Source organism: Homo sapiens, chromosome 6 (assembly GCF_000001405.40).
Source record: "Homo sapiens chromosome 6, GRCh38.p14 Primary Assembly".
Lineage (NCBI taxonomy): Eukaryota > Metazoa > Chordata > Mammalia > Primates > Hominidae > Homo > Homo sapiens.
In genome coordinates, this window is record NC_000006.12 from 11,334,719 (window position 1) to 11,353,333 (window position 18,615).

The 18,615-nt window shown below is 41.9% G+C and overlaps 1 protein-coding gene and 1 long non-coding RNA gene across 3 annotated transcripts in view, besides 1 other annotated feature; one reads left to right on the forward strand and one right to left on the reverse strand.

Moving 5' to 3' along the window:
- The window catches only part of LOC105374925 (uncharacterized), a 44,069-nt gene extending 42,997 nt beyond the window's left edge, over window positions 1-1,072 (forward strand). Inside the window, exon 6 of the long non-coding RNA XR_001743967.2 lies at window positions 28-1,072. This is a non-coding gene — a long non-coding RNA (uncharacterized LOC105374925). The remainder of the gene's footprint in view (window positions 1-27) is intronic.
- NEDD9 (neural precursor cell expressed, developmentally down-regulated 9) overlaps window positions 1-18,615 on the reverse strand; it is a 199,051-nt gene that overhangs the window by 151,421 nt on the left and 29,015 nt on the right. The window lies entirely within an intron of this gene.
- Window positions 9,239-10,438: an enhancer, noted in NCBI's record as "P300/CBP strongly-dependent group 1 enhancer chr6:11344190-11345389 (GRCh37/hg19 assembly coordinates)". NCBI's record gives its function as "activates an origin of replication core promoter dependent on BRD2, BRD4, P300/CBP, MED14 and CDK7 cofactors, with strong dependence on P300/CBP, by STARR-seq in HCT116 cells {active_cell/tissue: HCT116}" and the evidence as "EXISTENCE:reporter gene assay evidence [ECO:0000049][PMID:35650434]".

The following is an 18,615-nucleotide window of genomic DNA, read 5'->3' on the forward strand; positions in this document are numbered from 1 at the left end:
TTGCTGTTTATTTTATGTTTATTTTAGACTATGGAAATGATGTTAAACAAAAAGCAAATTCAAGCAATTTTTTAATTCAAGTTCAAAATGAGTTGTAAAGCAGCAGAGACAACTGGCAACATCAACAACACATTCGGCCCAGGAACCACTAACAAATGTACAGTGCAGTGGTGGTTCAAGAAGTTTTGCAAAGAGGACGAGAGCCTTAAAGATGAGGAGTGTGGCGGCCAGCTGTTGGAAGTTGACAATGACCAATTGAGAGCAATCATTAAAGCTGATCCTCTTACAACTACACGAGAAGTTGCCGAAGAACTTAACATCGACTGTTCTACTGTTCTTTGGCATTTGAAGCAAATTCAAAGGGTGAAAAAGCTCGGTAAGTGGGTGCCTCATGAGTTGACTGAAAGTAAAAAAAAATCACCATTTGGTGGTGTTGTCTTTTCTTATTCCACACAACAACAATGAACCATTTCTTGATCGGATTGTGACATGCAATGAAAAGTGGATTTTATACAACAACGAGTGACGACCAGGTGAGTGGTTGGACCGAGAAGAAGCTCCAAAGCACTTTCCAAAGCCAAACTTGCACCAAAATATGGTCATGGTCACTGTTTGGTAGTCTGCTGCCAGTCTGATCCACTACAGCTTTCTGAATCCTGGCGAAATCACTACATCTGAGAAGTCTGCTCAGCAAATCAATGAGATGCACTGAAAACTGCAGTGGCTGCAGCTGGCATTGGTCAACAAAAAGGGACAAATTCTTCTCCACAACAACACCCGACTGCACGTCATACAACCAATGCTTCAAAAGTTGAGCGAATTGGGCTACAAAGTTTTGCCTCACCCACCATATTCACCTGACCTCTCGCCAACCGACTACCACTTCTTCAAGCATCTCAACAACTTTTTGCTTCCACAACCAGCAGTGTGCAGAAAATGCTTTCCAAGTGTTCATTGAATCCCAAAGCACAGACCTTTATGCTACAGGAATAAACAAACTTATTTCTCATTGGCAAAAATGTGTTGATAGTAATTGTTCCTATTTGAATTAATAAAGATGTGTTTGAGTCTAGTTATAAGGATCTAAAATTCACAGTCCCAAACCACAATTCCTTTTGCACCAATCTAATATATTTCAAAGAAGGAAATCTGACCAAGTGGCTCCTCTAAATCTTCCAGGGTTTCCTGGAGGATAAAGAAGTCCCAAATCCTCAGGCTGAAGATAAGCTCCTTCAGAAGCTCGTCTGCACTTGAGATTTACTTCCAACTCCTGTCTCCATTCCTGGTAACCAGGAGTCTGTCTGGGCTCCCCCGCTTGAGACACGACATGCCCCAGGACTCCCTTTTCCCTAGTCACCTCCTCCTGCCCTCACCTCCCTCAGAGTCAGCCTTTCACAGTCATCTCTTATGACACTTCTCATAGGCCACCTTCCTTGGCATCGCCAAGTGGAGTTAACGGTTTTCTTTCTGCCTTGGTCATGGCTCTACATTTACTATACTATAGTGATATAATTATAGCCATGTGCCACTTGACGATGGGGACGTGTTCTGAGAAATGCATTGTTAGATGATTTTGTAATTGTACAAAGTGCATAGAGTGTACTCACACAAACCCAGATGGTAGAGCCTACTACTTACCCAGGTTATTTGGTCTAGCCTATTGCTCCTAGGCTACAAAAGTAGACAGCATGTCACTGTACTGAATATTGTAGTCAATGGCAACACAATGGTAAGTATTTGTGTATGTAAATACTTCCTACCTAAACATAGAAAATGTTCAGTATGAATATGGATATAAAAGGTAAAAAGTGGCACATCTGTATAGAGCAGCTACCATGAATGGTGCTTGCAGGACTGGAAATTGCTCTGGGTGAGTCAGTGAGTGAATGTGAAGGCCTCGGACATTACCGTACACTACTGTAGACTTTATAAATACTGTACATTTAGGCTACACTACATTTATCAAACAATTTTTCTTACTCCAATAATAAATTACCCTTAGCTTACTATAACTTCTTCTACTTTATAAACTTAAGAAAAATTAAAACTTCTTTACTCTTTTGTAATTAAAAAGAAAGACACTAGAACACGTATTAGCCTAGCCCTACATGGGGTCAGGATCAGCAGTATTGCTGTCTTCCACCTCCACATCTTGCCCTGCTGGAGGATCTTCAGGGGCAATGACATACAGGGACCTGCCATCTCCTAGAATGCCTTCTTGGCTGGGCGCGGTGGCTCACACCTGTAATCTCAGCACTTTGGGAGGCTGAGGCAGGCGGATCATGAGGTCAGGAGTACGAGACCAGCATGGCCAATAGTTGAAACCCTGTCTCTACTAAAAATACAAAAATTATCTGGACGTGGTGGAGCATGCCTGTGGTCCCAGCTACTCAGGAGGCTGAGGCAGAGGAATCTCTTGAACCCAGGAGGCGGAGGTTGCAGTGAGCCCAGATCATGCCACTGCACTCCAGCCTGGGTGACAGAGTGAGATTCTGTCTCAAAAACAAAAACAAAAACAAAACAATGCCTTCTTCTGGAATACTTCCTGAAGGACTTGCCTGAGACTGTTTTAAAGTTAATTTTTAAAAATAAGGAGAAATTGTACACTCTAAAATAATGATTAAAAGTATACTATAGTAAAAACAAACTAGTAAAATAGTAATTCACTATCATCAAATATTATAGACTGTACACAATTATATGTTGTGGCAATGCAGTAGTTTTGTTGACACCAGCATCACCACAAACATGTGAGCAATGCATTATTATGTGATGTTAGGATGGCTACAATGCCACTAGGTGATAGGAAATTTTCAGCTTCATCATAGTCTTGCGGGACCACGGTCCTATATACGGTCTGTTGTTGACTGAAGCATAGTCACTTAGTGCATGCCTGCATTATTTTATGTGTCTTTTCTCCACCTGAAGGGCAGGAGGATGTTCTGTCCAACTCCGTCCCTGGCTCTCAGTGCAGTATCGGGCATCAGTAGGTGTTTAATAAACATTGCTGTGTGCACATGCCTTTAGCTGGCATGGATGGGGAGGGAAGAGCAGGGGATCTGAGTTTTGTTTCATGGATTTATCGCTCCAACAAGCTGTTGTTCTTAGTTAAGCAAGTTTAAGCTCTCTTCTTTCCTCAGAGGATGGTAGTGCGTTAAAAAATATTAAGGTTTTCAATCATACCAGCGTGTATTCACTTTATACATCTCGGGCATGAGGAGATGCATGTTACTATCTGTGCTTCATAGACACATAGCAAAAACCTCCCCTCAGTAAGCAGTTTAACTCTGGGTAAGTGTCCCTTGGTGTCATGAGTTGAGTGCTGTCCCCTCCAAATTCTTATGCTGAAGTCCTAAGCCCCAGTGCCTCAGAATGTCATCTTATCTGGAAATAGGGTTGTTGCAGATGTCATTGGTTAACCTGAAGTCACTAGAGCACACCCCTAATCCAATGACTGGTGTCCTTATAAAAGTGGAAAATTTGGACATAAACACACATGCACACAAGGACAGTGACACATGAACATGAAAGCAGAGATTAGGGTGATGCCTCTACAAGCCAAGGAATGCCAAAGACGGCCAGCAAACACCAGAAGTTAGGAGAGAGCCACAGGTTCTCCCTTGCAGCCCTCGAAAGGAGCCAATCCTCCTGACACCCTTGATCTCAGCCTTTTAGTCTCCAGAACTGGGAGACAATAAATGTTTGCTGTTTAAGTCACTCAGTTTGTGTTTTTGTTTTTTAACAACAGCCCTAGCAAACTAATACTCTCAGGGACCCTTAAGTGAAGCATCAGAAAGAAGCACTTTATCCTAAATCTCCCTTATTGAACTATCATTTTGAAAGCCATCATCTGGGATGATTCTGGAGCCCTTTGCAAATGGGAAAGGAATGGACGCATTCCAGCTCTTTTAAAAATTAAATTAGGCTGAGCGCAGTGGCTCACACCTGTAATCCCAGCACTTTGGGAGGCCAAGGCAGGCAGATCACAAGGTCAAGAGATCGAGACCATCCTGGCCAACATGGTGAAACCCCATATCTACTAAAAATACAAAAATTAGCTGGGTGTAGTGGTGTGTGCCTGTAATCCCAGCTACTTGGGAGGCTGAGGCAGGAGAATTGCTTGAACCTGGGAGGCAGAAGTTGCAGTGAGCAGAGATTGTGCCACTGTACTCCAGCCTGGCGACAGAGCGAGACTCTGTCTCAAAAAAAAAAAAAAAAAATTAAACTATGGTTGTTATTTTCTTTTTTCCTATTCTTTTTTAATTTTTTCAACCGAGAAATAAAACTATCTGGATCTAGGTGCATATACAAATAAATTCAAAAGATATAGACTGAAACATAAGTCTCCTGTTTATCTTTATTTTCAGTCCCAGCTACCCAATTTCCCTCCCCCAGAGGCATCCTTTGTGTGTGCAACCTTATGTATGTGCAGATGTACATTTCATTTTTCTCATAATTGTCATACACTATATAATTATCTATATATTGCATTTATCACTTTATTATAAACATTGGAGATAACTATTAAAATACCAAACATGCCTCATTCTTTTTGATGACTGCATAGTATTTCTTTGATAGATATATTTTCTGCCTATTTAAAATACATTCTCAGCTGACTTTCTCAATCAAAACAAACAGCATTTCCAAGGTAATCACTTCTCAGCCTGGATGAGGCTGAGCCTTTCCACTGCTCTCTCCCTCATTAAATAAATGGATACTCTTTTTCTACTTGAGGTAGTTAGATATGCCTCAACCTCTATGAAAACCTACTTTTCTCATGTTTTATACAGGTGTGGCCAAAGTGGAGCAGCTTATGTCTGTTGTGCAACTGGTGCATCCTGCCCCACCAGATCATATTTCACCAAGTTTTTCTCCTCTGATGAGCTATGCTAAAAATGATCAATTGGACACATGTTATGCCAGATGAAATGTGAGACAACATTCATTAATCACAACCTTTGATTAGCGTATTCATTGCCTTCCTGTGACCTGTGGGCCATTATTCACTTTCTCAATTCTGCTGCACTGAGATTTCAGGACTTGACTGGGTTCTCTCTATTTGCATTTCTAGAACCTTTCTTAAATTCTCATAGAAACAACTGGGAAATGCTTCTTGTTAAACAAGACTGTGCTTGCATTTGTCATCTAATTTCCAAAAATAAGTTAATAAAGCCATTCAGCTGTACGGTAATGATATCCTACTTCTTATGGTTGATTCCAAATGTGAGCTTAAGGGGATAATAACCATGTTGAACTCATAATTTTTCACTTTGAATTTAAGAAGCTCTTTAAACATTAGTGATGGCCGCAAGTTCAGGTGACCTTCAGAATTCCCTTCCCTTTCCACAGTCTCTGTATCTAATCCATTCTTCAAACCCTAACTCATTGCCTCTCAATAGTCTTCAAAGATCTCCTCAGCCTGAATGAATAACGCCTCAGCCTTCCCTCCTTATGCAAGAGCTGACAGCATGGACCTCTACTTGGCTCTAATTTCCTTCAGTCTTGTTTTTGAGATATTTTTTCTATGCCAGTTGCACATATCTCTTGAGAATCAGAATTGAGTGTGGTACCCTTTATTCACAGAGTAGATCAATGTCAATGTCCACAGGGTACAGTAATAATCATCAGACATTCAGCCTCTCAGATAGTAATAGTTAACATTTGTAGAACGCTTACTTCATATGCACCAGGTATAATTTAGAGAATTTGACAGGAATTATATGCACCAGGTATAATTTAGAGAATTTGACAGGAATTATCTCATTTAATCGTCATAATATCTTTTATGTAATAGGTATTCTTATTATTTCCATTGTATAGAAATAAAGAAAGACAGTTGAAGTCACTTGCCTAAAGTCACACAGCCAATCAGACTTCAGATGATGTGATCTTCCACACTAAGGTACCTGTCTCCTCGTGAGCCCCAAACTCTAGGAAATGAATAAAAACTCAGCCATCGACCTTGAATAATTCAGAATTTTAATTAGATTTGCAAGTTTAGTCAATAGATTCTCTCAATGGCCTTCTAATTCAGCACCCTGCTTTTGTCCTGGAGGTGTTTCCAAGAGCTAGTGTGATTCTGTTAAAACCTAAATCAGTTCTTGGCCCCAAACTTTCCAATGACTTTTCATCTCACTAGAGTAAAAGCTAGAGTGCAGATAATGGCCTATGAAGCCAAACAGTGTCTTTCCCACCACCATGCCTCTCTGACCTACTGTCCTACTCTCTCTGTCCTTAGCTCTCGTGCTCAGCCATGTTGCCTCCCTACCGTTCTAAGTCAGGCAGGCATGCTTCTGCCTCCCACCCTTTCCATTGACGTCCCCCTGTTTGAAACTCTCTTCCCCTAGTTAGTTATCCCACAATCTTCTTTGGATTATGACCTGAAGGGACACTTCTCAGGCTACTGACTGTGATGGAATGACTAGTTTCAGACTATTTCGTCTCCTGTAAACAATTAGAAAACAGGACAAGGTATGTGAAGCAAGATAGTTTTCAGACAATGGAAAATAAACAACACCAGACTGCAAAAATGGGGAGAGGGGAGTGTGAGGTGAGCCCCACAGTAGTCCAGCTGTCTGCCTGGAGACTTGAGTTTGAGCAGAGCACAGGACTCTTGCTGGGCTGAAGAGGCAGGGATCAGAATCTGAGGCAACTGAAATAGCTGGAATCTGTGCAAAGACAAAGCCCTAGAAGTCCTTGCATGCGTATGGGAAGCCCCTCCCTCAGTCCACGGCTGAGGGCTTGACTGTATATGTGCAGGGAAAACCATCAGAGGCTTGCCAGATGTCAGCTGCTATGAGGTTGAGACTGAAACAGTATAACAGAGGTTGAGAAGTTCTGGGTGTAAATATGCGAACATTTAGATTAAAATTAAAATTGAGTTCCTCAGTCACACTAGTCACATTGAAGTGTTCAATAGCCACATGTGGCCAGCAGCTGTCCTATTGGATGGTGCAGACACAGAACACTTTCTTCATTGCAGGTACTATTGAAGAGTGCTGAGCTAGAGCTTCTACAATGTAACATTCACAATGCCCAGTATTCAATGATAAATCACTAGACATAAAAACCAACAAAAACCATACAAGGGTAGTGTAATCCATAGTAAAAAATGAAAGCAAAGGAACTATTCTAAGATGGACCAAATGTTGGATTTAGAAAATAAAGACATTAAAACATATATGTTTTACAATATATATTCAAAAAATATATTAATTAATTAGAGACAAATGGCCCTAAGTTGTGAGTAAATGAGGAATTTTTAGTAGATAAATGGGAACCCTAAAAAGAAACAAATGGAAATTCTAGAATTGTGCAATGCCTGAAGTGAATCATTCATCGGAAGAGCTTGCCAGCAGGTTGGAGATGATAGAAGAAAAAGTGAAGTTGGAGACACAGCAGTAGAAAATATCAAATCTGAAGAACAGAAATAAAAAATATTAAGGAAAAAATGAACAAAGGGTCAAAGACCTATGGAACAATATCAGACAGTCTAACTTACGTCTATTTGGTGTCCCAGAAGGAGGAGAGAGAGAGAGAGAGCAGAAAAAATATCTGAAGAAATAGTGGCCAAGAGCTTCCCAAAATTTTAAAAAATGACTTAAAAATCCACGAAGCCCAAGTAAGATGAAGATAAAGGAAGCCCCACCTAAGTACATCAGTCAAATGACTGAACACTGAAGATAAAGTAGAATGTTAAAAGCAGCCAAAGAAAAAGACACATACAGAGGAACAAAGTTAAGAATTATTACTAGTGCTCATCAGAAACAGTAGAGGCTAGAAGACAATGAAACAACATCTTTGGAGATGTAAAAATCCTATTCACACAGAATTCTATATAAATTGAATAAAAATAGTCTTCAAAATTGAAGGTGAAATGAAGACATTTTCAGATAAGCAAAATCTGAGAAGATTCATCACAAGCAGATCTGAACTACAGGCAATGCTAAAGGATGTTCTTCAGTATAAAGAGAATAGTACCAGGAAGAAACCACACAAAGAATGAAGAGTAATAGAAACAATAAGTAACTGAGTAAACAAATTATAAAACATTCATACAATAGACTCAGTAATAAAAAAATAATGACTGATAAATGCAGTAACATGGCTTCAACTAACCAAAGGAAGCCACATTCAAAAGACTTAACATGCATAGTTGCATATTAAATTCTAGGACAGGAAAAACTAACCTATAATGATGTAAATAGTATCTGTGGTAGCTTGAGTGGGAGTAGGAGACTAAATATGAAAAAGAAAGAGGGACGTTTCAAGGAAATGGAAATTTTCTGTAGCTTGATTAGGGTAGTGGATGTATACATTAGTCAAAAGCCACTCATCTGTACACTTAAAATGTGGGAATTTTACAGAAGATAAATTACACCATGGTAACATTGGCTGAAAAAAAAAACCTTAAAAAAGGTAACTTCGGCCCAGTGCCGTGGCTCACGTCTGTAATCCCAGCACTTTGGGAGGCTGAGGCGGGTGGATCATGAGGTCAGGAGTTCGAGACCAGCCTGACTAACATGGTGAAACCCCGTTTCTACTAAAAGTACAAAAAATTAGCTGGGTGTGGTGTCATGCGCCTGTAATCCCAGCTACTCAGGAGGCTGAGGCAGGAGAATTGCTTGAATCTGGGAGGCAGAGGTTGCAGTGAGTGGAGATGGCGCCACTGCACTCTAGCCTGGGCAACAGAAGGTGGCTCTGTCTCAAAAAAAAAAAAAAGTACCTTCTCAATGAGGCTTTCCCTGAGTACCCTATTTAAAACTGCACCCCACTACTCCACTACTCCCTAGCACATATCTCTGTCTAACACACTGGATATTTTTGTCTTGCTTTATATTACCTCCTAGAATGTAACTTCCATTTGGGCAAGAACTTTTGCCTGTTATGTTCAGAGCTGTGGACCATACCAAGAACAGTGCCTAGCACAAAATGCATGCTCAATAAATTTACATGAATGAATGAATAAAGGAATATATGAATGAATGAATTTACCTTCTTTACTGCTATCAGATATAAGATGAGTAGACAGGCTAAAATCATACTGTGAAACTCAATATGCTGTGAAACTCAAGACACCAGATTTTAGTCTAATTCCAATTTACAGGGCAAGAAACCTAAGTAAAAGGGTATTAAACATAGACTAAATACACGGGCCAGCAGTTGGCATGCTATGTGAGGTGCTTCATCTAGGCTCTTGGGTGAACTATAGATGTTTACAATAAAGGTAACCAGATATCTGTCTGTACTTTATCCATTGGAAGATAGGACTGTTTTAGAGAATTAGGATAAGGGGGAGAGAAGTGAAGTTATTTCTCAAGAGACAGGGTGAGTAGGCTGCTATCTATCACCAAGCAATCTACTACATCCTGGCCTCTTTTAAGTTTTCAGTGAATTAGTAAGTCTAAACTCTTAGGTGTAGTGGGCTCATGACACTTGGGTTGCATACATCTCTGGCTACAAAAATGTGCTGATAAGAATATGTGATAGACATAATATTCTAACATGAATGTGAGCGCAATTCCACAGTTAGAAATCTCACATAACATCAAATTCCAGAGAGTTAAAAAAATTCACCTGGTCCACTCTGTTGGAAAGTCCCCGTTGTTGAAGATGTTTATCCTGGAGAAAGAGGGCACCTTCAAAGTGGCGAAAGGCTAAGATAGGAGTGTGGACAAAATATCAGCAGCATCCCATGGCAACACATTCCTGTCGTAAGCATCACACTCTTCCAAAGAAAAGATCAAGCTGCATTTAAGTTTCAGGTGGGGCATGTTTATTTCAGGTAAGCAGTTGATAAAATAAGATTCCAATCTACAAAGTCATGTGGATGACTCTGCAGTGTGTGACCTCAATGCCACCTCCTTCGGGGCAAACTCCAGCCTATGGCTGATCTCTACTGCACCTAGATGGCATAGCACATGCTTTAGCATGTGACTACAATCTGCTTGGTGCTGTGTCCAGGTTGTTAGCCAGCACTGCGCCTCTCCTCCTGTGTCCATCATGAGCATCAGCCTCTCCAGCCCTGATGTTCAGAACACAGTTACCTTATCTCCTCATTTGCTTTTATTACTAAAAATCCCTTTCATTTCTTGTTTTCCCATCTCTCTTTCTTTTCCCCTACTCTCCACCCATTACAGAGTCAGTATTCAAAAAAAAGTGGAGATTGGGAACAGGTGTGGAAAAGAGTCGAAGTACTCATACTTCTCATTTCAAGCCCTTCTGCTGGTTAAAATTATAAATGCCAGGAGTCAGCCCTTTCAACAAAAAGGAAAGGAATCTGGGGGAATTCTTGTGGAAGTAGAGAAGATATTATGGAAGAAAGGTATTTTTGTAAGATCTTGTCTAGAATAGGGCGGTGGAGAAGAGGGCTTAGAAAGAGGGACCGGGGTGAGGCAGGATGAGAAGGGGAGTGAGAGTAAGAGAGAAAATAAACTTACAGATTCTTAGAGAAGAAGGAGGGAGAAGAAATCCACCCAAGGGAATATCAAAGATAACTCAGCAGGGAAGAGCTGGGGCTAGGGAATGAGAGATGAAGATGAGCTGATTTAATGCTTTAAATCTAAGCCAAGAAAACTGAGTGACAAGGAACTGTGACATCTGTGACTTATTTTGACAGTGTCTTGTTTTGGGCAGTGTGAGGGAGTGTCAGGGTTTTGAGTTACTTGTACATGGAGCTGTCTTGGTTCTCAGGACAGCAATAGAAGAGATGGAGCATCGAGCAAGACAGCAGGTGAGAGAGAGAGAGTGTGTGTGTGTGTGTGCTACATTTGAACACCTTAAAGGAGACTCACCTCCTGCCAACTATATGTGGAGCCAGGATCTCCGCACATCCCTATGCTGTGATAGCTACAGGGGATCGTGGCTTCACTTCCAGGGGAACCTTAGATCATACAAGATGGGAACTGCTCTTAGCTCTCCTGTCTTCCGCCACCAAGTTTCCAAAGAGACTTCCTGGAGTAGGAATGATCTTTTCACCCTCATCAACACTGGTAGAGGACTTTTCTCTGAGTAGAAAGTACATGACACATCATGCATTGGTTGCAAACACCAATACAGTAGGAAGTAAAGCAGCATTTTAGCTGAGATCGAAGGCCAAGTCAGTGTGAGAGACAGAGCATAAACAATTTCCAAGTTTATCTTGTACCACCATTCCCTGGCTCATGCCTTGCAGGCCAACTGGCCTCCTGGTTGTTCCTCGAACACAACTTCTGCACCTGCTCTGTTTGCGTAAAAGCTCTGATCTCAGACCTCCAGGTACTCTGCCCCCAGGACCTCCCTATCTAAGGCATCTCCTACAACACCATGTCTCATTTTCAGGTTCTTCATGGCACTTGCCACTCTCTGACATGGTCTAGCGTGTTTATTTATTTATTTGGCTTTTTTGTGTCTCCACCATTAGCATATAAGCTCCATGATAACAGGGATCTTGTCTATTTTCTCCAGCACTGGGGACAGTGTCTGGCACACAGAAAGTCTTCAGAAGATGCTCTTTGAATGAACAAACATGGCTGTGAATGTAATATTTGTACCTTTTATGTTCCATGGAAGGGTTTTGTTCTGCACTAGGTACTGATTCAGTACATTCTCCCAGTCCTACTATTCCATGTCATGATGGTGGCAGCCCTTAACTGACTAAAGAATGTGGGAGACCAGTGCTAACAGTTCAAGACCCACCCAAAAGAGCAACGCTGTTAATTAAGGGAACAAATGTCTGTGGTTCACTTTCGTTGTACTGTTATAAGAAGGCTCGGAGGCCCCCCCCCCCGAGGTGAGTGGAAAGCCCTCTCTTTACTGGGTAAAATAAACCCAATTATGATGGATACACTAGAATTCCCAGGCAAAGATGTCTTGGCTCTGTCTTTGATTCATCTCCATAGTTTCTGTTTGAGGCTGGTCTGGACTCTCATCGGGGAAGGAGGGGGCTGGGGAGGACTGGAGTTATAGATAGGATCTGGACTGACTGCTGGTTGAGCAGCCACTTTCAACTTTTCAAGGCTCTTGACTTGCTTTGATCACTCAGCCAGTAGCTGCTTAGGGCAGCAACCCTGAATTTGTGCTTAGTAGGGGGCTGGCTCATGGGCACCCATGTGGAGAGGATGTGCAAACCTCTTTTCTCTGTGGGAGCTCATGCTCAGTTGGCTTCAGCCCAGAGCATCTTAGTCAGGACTGGCCTGAAATTTGTGTTGTGAAAGGTCAGCCAGCTTCTCCTGTTACCTGCTCCCCAAACTCCATTTCTATGCTCCAACCCCTTCCCCTCATCCTTCATGTATCTCCATGGGCTAAGAGGCCCCAAAGCACAACTCACCAGCCTGCTCTCCTCAGCCCTCTCCACCATCCCCTCCACTCTCCAGCTTCACCTCAGGTCCTTGTGTTTCCACCAGAAGAGCAAGCCCAAGAGGTGCAGGGTGGAGAGGAGCACTGGGGTACAAAGTGGAGAGGAGCACTGGGGTACAAAGATCGGATGTCTGGCCACTTCTTTTTATTTTCATGAGCTGCAACTTTGGGCAAGTCACTTCTCTCTGAGACTCAATTTCTTTATTTATAAATCTGGGATAAAAATCCCCAGCCTCCTACAAACCAAAAAAAGCCAAGGACCAGATGGATTCACAACCAAATTCTACCAGATGTACAAAGAAGAGCTGGTACTGAAACTGTTCCCAAAAATTGAGGAGGAGGGACTCCTTCCCAACTCATTCTATGAAGCCTGCATCATCCTGATACCAAAACCTGGCAGAGACACAACAAGAAAAACAAAACAAAACAAACAAACAAAAATAACCACTTCAGGCCAATATCCTTGATGAACATTGATGCATAAGCCCTCAGCAAAATACTAGCAAACCTTTCCAGCAGCCATCAAAAAGCTAATCAACCACAATCAAGTAGGCTTTATCCCTGGGACTCAAGGCTTGTTCAACATGTGCAAATCAATAAATGTGATGGGTCAAATAGAACTAAAGACAAGACCCACGTGATCATCTCAATAGATGAAGAAAAAGCTTTCAATAAAATTCAACATCCCTTCATGTTAAAAACTCTCAACAAACTAGGTACTGAAGAAACATACCTCAAAATAATAAGAGCCATCTGTGACAAACTCACAGCCAGCACATCACTGAATGGGCAAAAGCTGGAAGCATTCCCCTTGAAAACTGGAGCAAGACAAGGATGCCCTCTCTCACCACTCCTATGCAACATAGTATTGGAAGCTCTGGCCAGGGCAATCAGGCAAGAGAAGAAATAAAGGGCATCCAAATAGGAAGAGAGGAAGTCTATCTCTGTTTGCAGATGACATGATCCTATAGCTAGAAAACCCCATAGTCTCTGCCCAAACACTCCTTGAGCTGATAAGCAACTTCATCAAAGTTTCAGGATACAAAATTGATGTACAAAAATTACGAGCATTCCTATACACCAACAACAGTCAAGCTGAGAGCAGAACACAATCCCATTAACAACTGCTACAAAGAGAATAAAATACCTAGGAAACAGCTAACCACGGAGGTGAAAGATCTCTGCAATGAGAACTACAAAACACTGCTCAAAGAAATCAGAGATGACACAAACAAATAGAAAAATATTCCATACTCATAGATAGAAAGAATCAACATCATTAAAATGGACATACTGCCCAAAGCAATTTACAGATTCAATGCTATTCCTATCAAACTACCAATGACATTCTTCACAGAATTAGAAAAAACTATTTAAAAATTAGTATGGAACCAAAAAAAGAGTCTGAATTGCCAAAGCAATCCTAAGTTAAAAGAACAAAGCGGGAGGTAACACACTACCCAACTTCAAACTATACTACAGGGCTACAGTAACCAAAACAGCATGGTACAAAAACAGACACGCAGGCCAATGGAACAGAATAGAGAGCTCAGAAATAAAGCTGTGCACCTACAATCATCTGATCTTTGATAAAGTTGACAAAAACAAGCAACAGGGAAAGGAGTCCTGTTCAATAATGGTGCTGGAATAACTGGCTAGGCATTTACAGAAGATTGAAACTGGATCCCTTCCTTATACTATATACAAAAATCAACTCAAGATGGACTGAAGAGTTAAATGTAAAACCCAAAACTATAAAAACCCTGAAAGACAACCTAGGCAATACCATTCTGGGCTTAGGAACTGGCAAAGATTTCATGACAAAGATGCCAAAAGCAATCTCAACAAAAGCAAAAATTGACAAATGGGATCTAATTAAACTAATGAGCTTCTGCACAGCAAAAGAAACTATCACCATAGGGAACAGACGACCTACAGAATGGGAGAAAATATTTGCAAACTATGCATCTTACATCTGTCTAATATCCAGAACCCATAAGAAACTTTAACAAATTTACAAGAAAAAACAACGCCATTAAAAATTTGGCAAAGGACATAAAAAGACACTTTTCAAAAGAAGACATACATGTGACCAACAAGCATATGAAAAAAGCTTAATGCCACTAATCATTAGAGAAAGGCACATCAAAACTACAATGAGATACTATCTCACACCAGTCAGAATGGCTATTAACAAAAAATAAAAAAATAACAGATGCTTGCAAGATTGTGGAGAAAAGGGAATGCTTATATACCATTGGTGGGAGTGTAAATTAGTTCAACCATTGTGGAAAGCAGCGTGGTGATTTCTCAAAGGCCTAAAGACAGACATACCCTTTGACCCAGCAATTCCATTACTGGGTATATACCCAAAGAAATAGAAATCATTCCATCATAAAGACACATGCACATGTTATGTTTATTGTAGCACTATTCACAATAGCCAAGACATGGAATCAACCACAATGGCCATCAATGATAGACTGGATAAAGAAAATGTGGTACATACACACCATGGAACGCTATGCAGCCATATTAAAGAATGAGAGCATGTTCTTTGCAGAAACATGGATGGAATTGGAAGCCATTATCCTCAGCATACTAATCGGGAACAGAAAACCAAACACTGCATGTTCTTACTTATAAGTGGGAGCTAAATAATAAGAACACATGGATAGATGTGGGGAAACAACACACACTGGGAACTAACTGAGGGTGGAGGGTGAGAGGAGGGAGAGGAGCAGAAAAAACAACTAATGGGTACTAGGTTTAGTACCTGGGTCACCAAATAATCTATACAAAATCCCTCATGACATGAGGTTACCTATGTAACAAACCTGTATATGTACCCCTGAACCTAAAATAAAAGTTAAAAAAATAATCCTTGGCCTATCTAGCTTAGAGAGGCTCTTAGTTTGAAAGAGACAATGGATGGTGTGCAAATTGAAGGTCACATTATCCTTCTAGGCTGAGATGTTCATAGTTCACAGTTCTTCAGGAGCTGGCCTGGGCAATACAGTTTGATCTAATACACAATAAACTAATTGACAATTGGCTGTTAATGGCCAAAGAGTGCAAGGGTTATACCATTTACATGGCATATAAAAAAGGTACATATATATCTCCAATCTTTTCATGTACATCCAGTCCTAAGGAGGAAATTATTACAGGTACAGGATTTCAGTCTGACCTCAAGAGGCAACATCTTATGGGAAAAGAGGCTTTTGAACACTTAAGCCGTGGTTTTGACAATTGTCCTTTTGGCCATGCTCAAGGGTATACATACAAAGTCTTGTATCATCTGGGCAGGGCCAAAGATGCTACCACAGGCCACCATCACCATTACATAACTCATTATTTTGCAACTCTTGCCTCATCCAAACTGTGTTTTTCTCTCAGTTCAGTTTCTCTTTCAAAGGACCTGATTACAAATTGCAAAGGCCAGGCAGACCTGGGCAACCCCAAACAGAAGTCTCATCATCTGCTTTGGCAACTTCCTCCGTGACTAACTGTGGGAGCAGAAATACAGACTCACAGACTCTCAGAGTGGACAGGATCTTAGAGGTCGGCGAGCTTGGTCTTCCCTCAATGTCACTGGTACATCAACACAATGATTGGCTTATTGAGCCCCTACTTAGTGCCAGAGGTCATGGTGGGTGCTGGAGGGGATATGACTAAGACACTGAACAAGGCCCTGCCGCTGACCTCACAGTGGGGAGACAGGTGAGTGAGCAAGTGGTCGGGATGCCCTGATACACATAGCGTAGGTAAACACTCGGGGGCTCATGTCAGGGAGTGTCAACCAGGGTCGGGGGGTGGTCAGAAAGGCGTCTTGACAGAGGTGCAGTCTTTCCACACCTCCTTGTCTTTCTTGACATATAATCGACAAACACAAATTTATACATGGTAATGTGTACAACTTGTTTTATATATACATTGTGGACGCCACAATGATCAAGCGAATCAGCATTTCTATCACCTCACAGAGTTGCCATTTTCTTTTGAGAAGTGGATTCTTAAAGGGAGAAAAGAAGTGAGCTGGCAAGAGATTCACAGGTGGAAGGGAGATGTTCCAGGAAGAGTTTACAGCATGTGCGAGGGACATGAGCCAGAAAGGAAGAGAGATGGGAAGAAGGAAGGGAGAGACAGAGAGGGCCAAGTGACCAGGACCAGGACCAGGAAAGAAAGCTGAGCTCTTTGCATATTTAGGGAACTGCCAGGAGTCCCCAGGCTGGAATGTGAAGTTCAAGGCCTGGAGCAGAGGGAGCTGAGACTGGAACAGTAGGATGGACCAGTTCAAGAGGGGCTTCATGGAGCTGGGGCTTCATCCTGATGGGGTTCAGGACATATTGCCCCTGAAAATAGAAAATTGGCATTTGAGAAAACAGCAAAAGCAGAAAGGCCACTCTCACCTTCCCTTGTTCTACCCTTCTCTCTGAGGCCGGTCATCAGTCCCAGGAAGGATTTCCTGACTTTCCCCTGAAGTAGGACATTGGACCCTGGTGTGAGTGATGCCCGCATACTCAGAGGAAAGGAACATCCTTTTTCTGAAGACACAAGGACACAGAGGAGAATCTGAGCCAACAGATGTGGTGACATTCCCTCCAGGTTATCACCCGCTTTGCTCGGTCATGCCTCTCCATGACTGTCCACTCTTCATCCAATCGAGCATAGCAAATACACAGGTTTCCCTGTTTCTCTGGTTCTTCATTTCCCCTCAAAGGCTTCTGTGTCATGTAAAACTTATATTCTATGCGTTTGTATGTTCTTCTCTTGTTCATCTGTCCTTCATTATAGGGGCCTCAGCCATGAATCTAGCAGTGGGTGAAGACATCTTGCCAGCCCTACAATTCCAAAAGCAACAAAGGACTCTTGAGGGTTGTGAGCAACACAGTCATTGGGGAACACCAGATGGCTACTGAGGTTTCTCCAGTGGTCCACAGGTGCCAGCTTCTTTCACTGTAAGGTGGGTCAAGTGGTTCACCCGTGTGTGTTCAAGTGGGGCCCAGAGCTGCCTCCACAGGCAGGGTCCCTTTCCAGTCTCCCTGCTCTTTCATGGGCCACGTTCCCAACCTCTGAAGACTTTCTGAGCCTACCCTACCCCAAGTTTCCTTTTCTTCAGGGTTAACATGTCTAATCCCTTCTCCATTTCTCTAGAAAAGTGAGTTGTCTACACCACAGGCATTCCTTCAGCCTCTGGGTGTAGATGGAGCATACAGATCTTGTCCTCATGGGCAGTGTAGATGTTTACAGACACTGAGCCCACTTGATCTGCTGTTTCATGATCCAACTCAGACATTTGCTCTTTGGTTAACTCATTCACCCACAGCCGCTCGGTGGCCGGCCTTTTTCTCTTCTGTTTTGCCCATTCCCCTGAGAACATACACTTTTTATATTGCTTTGGTTAAGCCTCAAGCATAATCATTTGGTTTCTTTATACAGCTTCTTTCTCTGAAGCTAGGACTACCCTAGTTTAGATACCCTAATGTCCACCAGCAACATGGCATCATGGTAAGGAATGGTCCTGCCAGTCAGAAAGACCAGAGTTTAAATTTTGGCTGAATTATGTAATACTTGTGTGACTTCAGGCAAGTGATTGAAACTCTTTGAGCTTCTGTTTCTTCATCTCTATAAGGCCATCAATATCTAGCTTTGTGAGCTGTGAAGATCTCAGTTAATACAGGTAACATCCTTGGTGTATAGTAGCACAAGAGATCCAATGCCTATTAAAAACAGAAGTGACAGCGGTAATAGCAATCATGATCTCGCTTTTCTACTTATAATCTGGGTCTCATTATTTAATCAGAGCCTCAGTTTCTCCATGTATTAAAAAAGAATAATAGCAACTCTTTGGCAGAGTTATTTGAGGATTCAATGGGATAAAAGCACATGTGGCACACAGTAGGCTCTTCAAGCACAAATGTGTCCTTGGCTTTTGCCCTCCAGTGGATTCTCCTGCCCTCTTGAGCGATCACCTTTGCTGCTAGGCTTTCGCCTCCATCTCCAGATGTTCCTGTCGGGGTCCCAGGCTCTTTCTGGGTGAACATCCTCTGAGAACATCAGGATCCCCTTTTTGGTTGACCAAGATCAAAGAGTTATTTTTCTGTCCCTGTTTTTCTCTTTCCTGGCTGCTAGGGGTTGAATTGTGTCTTCCTTCCCCATGAAAGGGTATGTGGGAGTCCTATCTCCTTGCACCTGCGAATGTGACTTTATTTGGAAATAAGATCTTTGCAGATTTCATCAAGTTAAGATGAGGTCATGAAGGTGAGCCCTGAT